The sequence below is a fragment of the Homo sapiens genome, chromosome 11 (genome assembly GCF_000001405.40).
Source record: "Homo sapiens chromosome 11, GRCh38.p14 Primary Assembly".
NCBI lineage: Eukaryota > Metazoa > Chordata > Mammalia > Primates > Hominidae > Homo > Homo sapiens.
Genome location: NC_000011.10, coordinates 95,836,063 through 95,848,590, shown reverse-complemented (window position 1 = coordinate 95,848,590; position 12,528 = coordinate 95,836,063). Strand labels below are relative to the sequence as shown.

At 34.8% G+C, this 12,528-nt stretch overlaps 1 protein-coding gene and 1 pseudogene across 23 annotated transcripts in view; both read left to right on the top strand.

The window, feature by feature from the left end:
* MTMR2 (myotubularin related protein 2) overlaps positions 1–12,528 on the top strand; it is a 91,228-nt gene that overhangs the window by 75,517 nt on the left and 3,183 nt on the right. For 18 of the 23 annotated variants that reach the window (NM_001440635.1, NM_001440649.1, NM_001440647.1 and 15 more), the window contains 5 exons: positions 692–877; positions 3,432–3,638; positions 6,882–6,974; positions 10,384–10,497; positions 12,267–12,443. In NM_001440635.1, coding sequence (NP_001427564.1) covers positions 692–877; positions 3,432–3,638; positions 6,882–6,974; positions 10,384–10,497; positions 12,267–12,443 — 777 coding nt within the window. The remainder of the gene's footprint in view (positions 1–691; positions 878–3,431; positions 3,639–6,881; positions 6,975–10,383; positions 10,498–12,266; positions 12,444–12,528) is intronic. The other 5 variants (NM_001440648.1, NM_001440639.1, NM_001440638.1 and 2 more) reach the window with 2 other exon arrangements.
* RNA5SP345 (RNA, 5S ribosomal pseudogene 345) lies at positions 8,467–8,574 on the top strand (annotated as a pseudogene).

The following is a 12,528-nucleotide window of genomic DNA, read 5'->3' as shown; positions in this document are numbered from 1 at the left end:
TCATGAAATATAAAAAGATTAAGTCCAGAAAAATAAGGTTCTTCTTTCTAGCCATAGCTTATTTTGAACACCAAATATTTTCTCATTCTATTTTGTAGATGTAGATTTAAGTCTTTGAGAACATTGATGATGATAGCATTCTGTGCTTTTATCCTTGTTCTGTCTTTTTATTTAAAGAGAATTATGTGGTTAAAAAAGAAGCAGGTCATTTTGATTGCAAAGAGTTTATTTCTCAGATATGAAGATTAAAATGAGGTGAAGAGGCAGGGAGGTGAAGAAGCATAGGTGAACCAGACATGTGGTCTCAGCACATGAAACTTACAGTCTGGTAATTTCAGTATATATGAAAGGAAGTCATCTGTAAGAACTTATGTTTGGGTAGGACTTGGCGTATGGGCTGGGAAAATTTAGTGCTTTACAGTGTTTAAATACCTTCCTATGTGTTTCATATTTAATTTTAATAATGGCCATATGGGCAAGTCAGACTACGTATATATTCATTTTGTAAAGAAGAACACAAGAAAGCGAGTGGTTGTGCTAAATAAGTTGTCCTGAGCCATCCACATTTTCCTGTGGAGTTTTCCTTGTCTCCAGTAATATGTATCATCTTTTATGCTATTGGATATTTTATGTCACTTGTTTACAGATGTGCATTCATTTATGATTTTCCATGATGTGTGCTTTTTTCCAGGCAAAGGGTGGAGGTTATGAAAGTGAAGATGCCTATCAAAATGCTGAACTAGTTTTCCTGGATATCCACAATATTCATGTTATGAGAGAATCATTACGAAAACTTAAGGAGATTGTGTACCCCAACATTGAGGAAACCCACTGGTTGTCTAACTTGGAATCTACTCATTGGCTAGAACATATTAAGGTGGGTGTGTGTTACTATATCCCAAACAAAGACTCTCTCTACCCCTTTGTTTATATTAGCTTTTTACTTATAATTGCAATCAACATGAAGGTACCTTTCTAAACAATGAAAAATGGGTAAATGCTTTGATACTTGGAACTACTAGTGAATTTTAATGTTTGAATGAATTGGTTTTTTATATTGTGCATTTGGTTATGTTGTATTTCTTTTGTTCCCCCTCCCATCCTATCTGAATTCGAACCATCCTTCAGATTCCAGTTCATATTTCATTTCTTCCATAAGGTCTTCCCAGATTGCATCCTTTTCCATTTTCTCTGAACTCTTTACCCTGTCTTTCCATCTAATCAGGAACTAGCGTGTACTTTGTTTGCTTTTGTGTGTCAACCAACGTATATTGCTAATTTATGGAGACCAAGACTGGATAAATCCTACATATATTTTTTTGTCCTCTCAGGAGCTAGGGCAGCACTATCCGTGTGAATAGGTACCCAATAAATATTAGTTGATTTGTGAAGTTAAAACCATTCTGATCAGGGAAATGAGGTGGAGTGGTTGCATGAGCCACACTGAGTGCTAAGTCATTCGCAGAGCACATGTCAGTGCTAATTTACCTAACATGCTAATTTAATCTAGTTATATTTTCAGATATGGTCTGTCAGTAACATAACTCACCAAAATGTAGACTTATGTAACCACATATATAAATATTAAGAGGTAATGGGAAATGCAGTCTTTCACGTTAAGAAGGAGGATACTTCTGCTCACATTAAAATCTCTGAAGTTCAGACAGAATTGAAGAGAAAACCAAACTGAATAAGAATTTTAAATAGACCATTTTTACTATTGTTTCCCTTTGAGAAGCTTAGAAGCTTGAAAATCACAAAGTATAAACACTACTCAGAGAGCATGTTCATGTGGCCCATTCATTAAATTATGTGATGTGTAAATATACAGCCTTAGGCTTGATTTGGAACTAACATAAATCGCTGTGTTTGATTCTGAAAACTCCAGATATTTAATTTGCAGTTTCAACATGGTCTCTAAAAGGCTGGCTATAACAGAATCAAATTTCCCTAGAGTTATAAGACATATAGTTGGGCTAAACTACTTTATTCTCCCCCAATCCTTATCACACAAAGAAAGTTTATTTACTCAATCACTCTCTTCTGGTCTCTGCTCAAATATCACCTTTCTGAGAGAGACCTTTCCCAGCCTCTTTACAAAATAAGAGTTCTACCAGCATTCCCTATAACTTCTATGGAGCGTTTTCACTTATTGCCATCTGGTATACTGTATATTTCCTTGTTTATTTGTGACTGGTGGGCCTCACCCAAATAGAATGTAAACTTCAGTAAGCAGGAACTTTGTTCCCTGCTGTATGGCCCGTGCCTAGAGCAGTATCTACCTTCTAGTAAGGGACTCCATAAATGTTTATTTAATGAATGAATGAACAATTACTACTTTGGATAACTCTTCCTGATCAATCTTAACTAAGCCTTTGGGTTAGTGATTCTTAACTTCGTATATGCACTAGAATTATAGGTGGAATTTATTTAAGATACTGAATTAGGATCATTGGACAATGAGGTCTAGGCACTTCAGGCTTACAAATGACTCTTGATATATAGTCAAGATCGTCATAGTACCCCATTTCCAGAATATGCTTATAGCTGTGATCAAGGGGAGGTTATCATACTTCCAAGCTTAATAATCTGTTTTCTTTCATTCTCATCTGCGTATGTAGAACTATACTGTTTTTCAAGTATAATACAATATGGCCATTGCAGAGAAGAATAGGGCTGTATTGTCCTTTTTTTTTTTTTTTTTTTTTAAGATACCATACTTTTGTGTTTCTTTTTTGGTTATATCTAATTATGTTTAGTTTTAACTCAAGATTGACTTCAGAAAAGGTAAGTTATTTTGCAAAGGATTTCTGCATATTTAAAAAAATAAGAGCTGAAGTTATTTTAAGTAACAGATTGACATATTCTGTGAATTTTCATGCAGTGTTACAGAAAAGTAGCTCACTCTAAAGTTTATACTGTGCTTGCTGTATGCTCTGTGACATAAAAATCTTTAGTCAAAACAATACAATAACTGCTATAGAGTATTTTAAAGAGATCCAGTATTATTGCTTTCAGGTGCTTATCCCAATTTGGTTTAAGCATTGTTTTAAATCATAACAAGGCTTCAATTGCTATATCAATTATTTTTATTTAAATAGATGATGGAATATTTGATTCTTAGAAACAGATCTCTTTAGAACTTTTCTAAGAAGAATCTTACACCATGATTTATGTAGCACCCAAAGGTACTTTTGATTTGGCTATTTCGTTGGGCAAATTAATAGGAGTCAGCAATTATGAGGTTTTTCTAGTTTTAAAAGCAAAATTTATATATCTTCTACCATTTAAAAAAATTCTTCTTAGGAAGGGACAAATGTTTTTCCTCATGTTATTGAAATAATGATCCCTGATAAGCTGTATTAGTAAATTTTGAAGAAGGAAGTATTTACCTTGTTTAAAAACAATGTATTAAAAAATCTGTTTTCCAGCTTATTCTTGCAGGGGCTCTTAGGATTGCTGACAAGGTAGAGTCAGGGAAGACGTCTGTGGTAGTGCATTGCAGTGATGGTTGGGATCGCACAGCTCAGCTCACTTCCCTTGCCATGCTCATGTTGGATGGATACTATCGAACCATCCGAGGATTTGAAGTCCTTGTGGAGAAAGAATGGCTAAGTTTTGGACATCGATTTCAACTAGTAAGTAAGGAACCTTGACTTTGGATATATCACATGCATTCATGCCAAGGCATGTGAAAAAAATGTGTTTTTTAAAATAAGATATTCATCTGAAATTGATCATTTATCTAGTGGGGTAAACGTTTTTGCTTGTTTTGGAAAGCATTAAGATATCCCTAACATGACTAGTCTGGAGTCAGAGCTAGCTATTTGTCAAGTGTCTGACCCAGTCTTTTCTGTGATCTCCACTGGGAAACATCGGATATCATTCAGTGATGTCCACGGGTGTTTCTGGGCAGGCGTTTTCCTAAATAATTGAAAAACTTTTAGAAGGGTCTTTACCCAGATGCTGTCTGTAATGTTTACCTTTAGTATCCAGTAGTTACCAGAGTATACTAGCAGTGTTTATACAGTTGTCCCTTGGTATATGTGGGGGCTTGGTTCCCAGATCCCATGAACAGGCCAAAATCCACACATATTCAAGTTCTGAAGCTGGCCCTGCTGGGACCATGTAAAGTTGGCCCTCTGTGTATGTGGGTTCCGCATCCTGCATTTGGCTGAAACAAATCTGCATATAAGTGGACCTGTGCAGTTCTAACCGTGTTGTTCAAGGGTTAACTGTAACATGAAAGGAACAGACATTTAAAGTTAGTCTGCTCTTTTGAACTTGAACTGTTAAATAAAATTGGGTACCTGGAGTGTTTATTCAGATGGCTCACATTTTGCCGTTCTCTACACAATGTACTTATCATGAAACGGCCATTTAAAACAAACTCGTACTTCAAAGAATCAAGTTTTAGTCAGCCAAAGCTGCACATGTTTATATAAATGTGTTCAAAATCAAACATTTTGGGGTGTTCGAAGTTGCTATGGATTCCTAAATTGCTAACTCTGGTTACCTACTCCCCCCGTTCTTTTTACCTAGTTATATTCTGAAAATAGAATCTTGACAATTAAAGGGCACCCAGTCAAGAGGATTTGCTCACAAGGTTAATGTAGAGTAATGATTCTCAAACTTTTTGGTTTCAGGACCCCCTTTACATTGTTAACAATTATGGATAGAACTTTTTTTTCCTAACTCCCCAAACTTGTTACCCAGAGAACTTTATGTGAGTTATATCAATATTTGCCATATTGAAAATTAAATTTGAAAAAATTTAAAAATATTTCTTAATTTAGGAAATAAGCTTATTATATATTAACAGAAATATTTAAACTAAAAAAAATATTTTCCAAAACAAAAAGTTTAATGAAAAGACTGGCATTGTTTTACTTTTGCAAATTTAATGAGTTTGGCTTAATAGAAGATAGCTGAATTTTATATCTATTTTTACCTTCAATCTGTTATGTTTTGTTGGTTTTAGTATATGAAGAATATCTAACCATATACAGATATGTAAGTGGAAAAGCAGAAAGTATTTTAATAGCTTTTTCAGGGAATTGTAGATATTCTTCTTTGATACTACGCCAGAACTTGATAAATGGTAGTTTCTTAGAGGTTAGTTGTTATATGGAATCCAAAATCAAGTTAATGAATTTTTTTTATCATTAAATTCCATTGGTCTCACTTCCATTTTGAATAGATCTTTTACCCATGTGTGGTTTTGTAACATCACATATTGGTTATTTGGAAAATACTGGCTTATTGAGTTACACAGATCTTCCAAATGTAAATGCATTTCATCATATAATACCATAAAATCACACTTGTTAATCATCACCATTGGTTTTGTCAGAAAAGCCTTCAAGTATTTTTAAGCTCATTATGGTGGGCAAAAGTTCACCAAAAATTGAGTTTTCACTCAAAAGCTTGAATTTTTTCATTGACAACAAATATTGTCAGCTGTTTTCCTTTCAGTGATAATTCACATTGTACCTTTTCAAAAAAAAAAAGTCTTTAAGTCTTTCTAACCACAATGCATACATTAATTTTTCTTTCAAGTAAAAATGATGAGAAAGTGCTATCTCCTACCATACTACATGCAGTAGCAAAGAGTTAACACATATTTCCCGTTTTGTCACACAGGCCATTAAAAAAAAAGTGTACTTAAGGGATGAGATTTAATAAAATCAGTAATTTTTACTGCGTTGTTAAGTACACTGGCATAAGAGAAATGGACTTTTTTTCTTTAATTTAACTGTGAGTGTCTGGTAGGGTAGAATACAGTGGGTACGAATGCAGTTTTAATTATAAGCATTGCCCTGCTTGATGCCTGCAAAGGCACCAGAATTTTTATCCTTCATAACTTCTGCATCATTAGTGCAAATGCCAACACACTGAAAAAGGTAAATAATGTCTTAATATTATGGAAATAGTTTTGACCTCACAGCCCTTGGATGTTTGTGGACCACACTTTTAGAATTCCTGCTTTGGGGTAAGGAGCAGGATTCTGTTTTCAGTTATCTGAGTCAAAGGTCCTCAGAGGAAATAACTGAGAAACTAGGTAGATGACTGCATGCTTGGAGGGTGGATGTCAAGCATTTTTGACAGGTTTTCTAAGATGTGTGCTAATATGGTTCCTCCTGATGAAGACACATTAGTGCTAAGATAGGAGGGGGTACCCTTCACTCAGTGGTCAAGATATGAACAGAGAATGGTGCTTTCTGAGGCCAGTGTCCATGTAACTTATTTCTCAGAGAGAAATTAAAATCTCCAGGACAAAAATCTGGCCTCTGAGGTTCTGACTGCTTCCATCTTTTATTAGCAACCTTTTAGGATCTGAGTTTATTAAACAGAGTAGTAATTCATATTATAAGCACTTGTGTCAGAAAATATCTGAGCAGTTTGCACATCAAAATGTTTCTGCTTGGCAGGATAATGGGTGATTTTTTACTTACTTTGCAATGCTCTTTAAAAGACTTTCTGAAAATTTTTATGTATTTGAGACAGGGCCTTGCTGTCATGCAGGCTGGAGTGCAGTGATGCGACCGTAGTTCACTGTAGTCCTGTACTTTTGGGCGCAAGCCAGCCTCCCACCTTAGCCTCCTGAAAGCTAGGACTACAGGTGCACGCCACCATGCCTGGCTTTTAAAAATGTTTTGTAGAGATGGGGTCTTGCTATGTTGCCCAGACCCATCTCGAATTCCTGGCTCCAAGTGATCCTTCCACCACAGCCTCCCAAAGTGTTGGGATTACAGGTGTAAACCACAGCACCCGACTTTGAAAATTTTTAGACTATTGACCAATTATTTTTTTAAAAAATTATTTCCATCAAAACATGAAAAATCCCCCTAAGTTCATATATTTCACTCTTTTTGCTTCAGAGAGTTGGCCATGGAGATAAGAACCATGCAGATGCAGACAGATCGCCTGTTTTTCTTCAATTTATTGACTGTGTCTGGCAGATGACAAGACAGGTAATTTATCTGGCCTATGTATTCTTACACATCTCCTTTCAGTTTTCCTGTCAGAGTGGGGAGATTTGGTCACTGATTAGCCTATAGATCATTAAATGGAAATTCTTGTAACATCTCCATGTCCATGTGAGAGCTATTTATTGTCACATTATGAATCAGGTTAAAGATTAACACTTGAAAATTTGATTCTATTAGTATTTCAGTGAGTAGCATTGATAATAACTCCTGAGAGGTTTTATCATTTGTTTTGAACAAATAGTGTTAAATAGGCTCACCTAAAAACACATTTATATATTGCTAAGAGTGGAGAAAAAATAAGCTAGGTACCGCAAGCAAAATAAAATATTTTAAGTAACTTTAACTGTTAATTTTTTTTTTGAATTTCAATCTGCTTCTTCTGAAAATTTTTATTTTAAGGGAAAAATGTTTATATAGAAAGCATAACAAGGGAGGCACATACTACATCCAGTTCTTTTTATTTTTTGGCATAGAGAGAGCTATTATGGCTTTTAGAACTTCTAACAAATTTATTTGAAATATTAATATAAATGAATTTAATCTTTTGGAAAGAGTAGAGGGGACTGAGAAAACACCTGGTTTATTGTGAGATCACTTTATTAATGAGGCAACGGGTCATTGTCTTAAAAATATGATTTAATTCTGACTCAAACCATCTCGAAACCCTGTTGAATGCAGCTCATTGGGAGATAATTATTTACCCAAGGGTTTATTAGACCCCAAAACAACTGGAAGTCTGAATTGTTTTTATTTAGATTGCCATATGAATTTAAAGTAGGGCAAGTGCTGGCTCTGCCTGGCTTTGGATCATATTTATTTAGGAGCATATTTTTAGCTTCAATAAAATACTGTTTATTTCAATACAAGAAAATTAATGGTAATGGGGTGAAATAATCATCAATTATATATTTAACAGTCCCTTGCCTCCATAAGCATTTCTACTTGGGTGAATTATTTAGAAACTGTTGGGTTAAATGAAGCATTTTTGTAGCTATGACTATGATATGATGAGACTAGTATTTTAGCATATATACTGAAAAGGTGTATACAATTCAGTTTTGGTTTATAAATCAGACCTTTGGTGTGTTGGGAGGTAAGAGGAAGGAGAGGTGCAGTGTTTAATACTTTCTTGGATTAGGTTTGACTTTTTCCTTTGGAATTGGCTTTGAGGCAGTATATCAACTACCTAAGTCCCTACAATCCTTTTTTGGATGTTTGACCCAAAACATTAGGACCCCACTTTTGACTGTTACCATATTCAGTTTTAAATAGCCTTTGACTCTTGGTAGAAATAAAATTCGCCATCAAAGGAGTAGGAAAGCTCTTTGAAACTGTGGTATTGTTGATGGTTGTGTGTACTGCTTTCCAAGGTGAATACCTTGAAGGAAACGATGTGTTTGAATGTATCAGTTCTGATATGTTTGCTAGAAAAAAAGCACATTTACCAATTTCTTGCAAAGAAGAGTACACGATAATCTATAGCCAACCACCCTGAATGCACCCATCTCATCTGATTTTGGAAGCTAAGCAGGGTCGGGCCTTGTTAGCACTTGGATGGGAGAAGAATACATCATAATACATTTCTTCCTTAGTAATTTTAATTTTGTTAACTTTATATATGCTGTCTATCTAAAAGTAGTTTAATCCTAATTTTGAGCCTGGCACTAAATAAAAGAAAATCAGTTTAAATCTGTATTTTTGATAGAACCTAAAATACTTTGTAGCCATCTTTATTTTATACACCTAGTGTTTTTCTGTATATTTTCTTCCTGAATATAAAGCATATTAACTAGTCATAATGTTTGTTAGCAATTATCAGTTTTATAAATACTTGAATACTAGTACAGAGACTTGAATAGCACATTTGTCAAAACAGAACCAACTATGTTATGACAGCCAGATTCTATACCTCTCCTCCTATTTCCATCCTCATCTCTGTCACCTCAGCCCTGAGATCAGGAAGCAATTGTTGAAGGGCCTTTTAGATTTTAAACATGTAAAGAAAACAAAATAGTTCTCTTCTGCTGAGGGTTTTAAAAGCAATAGCTGCAGTTAATGCCCTGCTATTTTACTTTCTTTGTGAGGAAATGCCTACTGATTACACTGTCTTCTCATAACTGAGCTAACAGTTTTGCCAAGAAGATGAAAAACTAATCGCAGGCTTAGATCCTTGGGATTGCTATTTAGTGATTCAGGATGCATTCATATTTCGCTAATAATAGGGCTGTTAAGAGTGTGAAAAATAGGTGGGATTTATTTTTTAAAGGAATAAATGGGACTTGACAAAGTTTTTTACAATTGGTTTTGTTGTGGAAATGCTTGGTCATCTTCTGCTTGATCATCTGCTTCATTCAGCTTCACAGCCACAAAAATCAAGGCCTAGTAAGTGCCCTTTCTTGTTTAGGAAATCTGTCATGTTACCCTGTCTATACTTGCTAAAATGTAGGAAACTTTAAGGCAAAGTTGTTTTCATCCATGTTCCATTTACATGATGTTTATACTATTTTCCTCCACTATAAAGGAAGGGATCTAAGATGTAAAAGCTTGGAAGCAATGTGTATTTTCACAGTCTGCAATCTAAATATTTATATAATTTCTTATCACGTACAGCCCTATAATTGGTAGAATCTTACATAGAAGCTTCCAAATAATTCTGAAATATTAGATAGGATGGATTAAACGAAACCTTCTAACTTTCAGGGGTTCGTAATTTTTCATTTGATTAGTCCCCTAAAATTGTGTTGTGTAAAACTAAGACATCCAGTCAAGCCCCTGGCTTGGGTTAGAGAGTGAATTTTCTTTTTGTTAGATGCTGCCAAAATAGTGGCTTACAAGGGACTCTGGTTTGATGGGATGGATGTTCCCTGAAAAGTTTACGTCGGTGCAAAAGTAATTGCCATTTCAATGGCAAAAGCCGCAATTATTTTTGCACCATCTAAATATTTAATAGGTTGGTTGACTTGTAAATTATCTGCCTTAGATGTTTACTTTTGTGTATTGCTGACATTTTCTGGAGACATTATTGGCATTTTGTGTGTAATCCTTAAAAAAGAAAAACAACTATGTTCTTGAAAATTTAAAGAATCTTAATGTTGTTTGTGGTCATTTTGGGCAGAGAATGCCTAGAGTTGCCAGAATTGCCTAAGTCAAAATTCAGCCTGCAAATTTAGGGTTAGCAGATATAGCAGATACAGAAACATCATGATCAGAAAAGTGATAACATGATTTTTGAAAAGAAAACCATACGAATAATGCCATAATGGCTTGGAATAATGTAGATTTGAATGTTTAACTTCATTTTAAATACTACCTCAAAAGGATCTACCCATGACAGGGATGAATATGCTTGAAGAATGTCTTAATTTATGTGTTTGTGATGTTTGATTTGCAGTTTCCTACCGCATTTGAATTCAATGAGTATTTTCTCATTACCATTTTGGACCACCTATACAGCTGCTTATTCGGAACATTCCTCTGTAATAGTGAACAACAGAGAGGAAAAGAGGTAAAATATGAAACATGACCTTCCCCATACTATCTCTACTGTATACTTTTCCCTAAAAGAATGTACTCTGTGACAGATTTCAACTGAAGTCATTCTTTTGGGTCATACTTTATCTTACATGCTATAATATTGAGGGCTTCCTTCCATATATCTGGACCTGATATATTCTGAAGTATCTTTGTCACAAGGCTGAAGGTGCTAGCTAGCTGTCTGCTGAGTTCATGAGTGGGAAGTGGTTTCTGCTAAAGAGAACTGAAGTACGTGAAATCTAAGGAGCACCAGTGTACCAATTTTTCCATGTAGAATGGAAATCCTTTACAGCAGGTGCAGAAAAATTTAATTAGCAGAAAATGTATATTCGAGTGAATAGGCAGCTCAAATTCCCAAGTATATCCTACTTATTGAGACATTTTAGGTTAAGTTTTTGAGTTTTTTAAGTTGTAAAGTAATACCATAAAAAAATTCAAATACGGAAAAGATAGTATGTAGAAAGTTAAAGTTTTTCGTTATCCCTTTTCCCCAAAGGTATCACTGTTAAGTGGGGTTGGTATTAAGAAGAAATGGTGTAAGGATTACATTTCAAGTTTTACTTCTTTATCAAAACTTGTCTATCCTATGTATCAACATCTTAATCATCTTGATTGGTATCTCCCTCTGCATCAACTTTTATTCTAAAAAATGTGGTTACAAAGTATTTATGTTTTATTTTATAAAGCACAGTAGGAATAAGTACTTGCACTGAAGCCCAGTTGCTGGGTTCAAATCCTGGATCTATCACTTACTGTAACAGTTCGCTTGGGGAAGTTAATGTCTGCTTTTGTAAAATTATGAAGATTATTAAATAAGCAATACAAAATACCACAAGAACTGCTATGTAGTATTTCCTAGACTTCCTTAAAGGCAGGTATTAAATTTTTAAATTCACCTTATGTCTTCAGTGTCTAGCATGCAGTAAGTATTTCTATGCATAGCAGGCACTCAACAACTTAAGGAATGTTCATTAGAAATAGCATAGCTAAGTTTCGAAGAGTTTTATTTTTTGAGAGCCTTGGGGTAGGAATCATTGATTATTTTTAAAAAAACTTTTTAAATTGATAATAATATGCATACCATGAAATTCACTTTGATAGTGTATAGTTGACTGGTTTTTAGTATATCTGAGTTGTACAGCCATCACATTTTCATTTCAGAACATTTCATCACCTCAGAAAACCTGTTAATAGTCACTCCCCATTCACCCCTGCCAAACACTAATGTTTTTGTCTCTAGATTTGCCTCTTCTGGACATTTCATATAAATGGAATCATTTAATATGTAAACCTTGTGTCTAGCTCCTTTCCTTTAATATGCTTTCAAGGTTCATACATTTTATATCATTTCTTTTTATGGCTGAATAATATTCCATTGTGTGGATATATTTTACTTATCCATTCGTCAGTTGATGGACTTTTAGGTTGTTCCCACTTCTTGGCTGTTAATGAATAATGCTGCTTTGAACATCTATAAAAAAGTTTTTGTACAGACATGTCTTCTGTTTGCTGGATATGTACAAGAGTGGAATTGTTGGGTCATATGGTATCTCTTTGAGGAACTGCATACTGTTTTCCAGTACCCTCTGATCTTAATATAAGTTGGTTTATCACTGAAGTCTCCAAGTCCACTTCCTCTAAAGAGATTTTAATGACAACAAAGTACTTCTTCACAAATTTCATCTAAAGTGTAAATGGCTTATGTGGTGGAGAATCTTTACCTATTTTTCCTGCCTACAGAATCTTCCTAAAAGGACTGTGTCACTGTGGTCTTACATAAACAGCCAGCTGGAAGACTTCACTAATCCTCTCTATGGGAGCTATTCCAATCATGTCCTTTATCCAGTAGCCAGCATGCGCCACCTAGAGCTCTGGGTGGGATATTACATAAGGTGGAATCCACGGATGAAACCACAGGTATGTGCCTTACAATATACAATGGGAGTTTTCATTCATGCAGTGCAACTTTGTCTCCTTAAAAGCAGCTGGAAAGATTATCTGT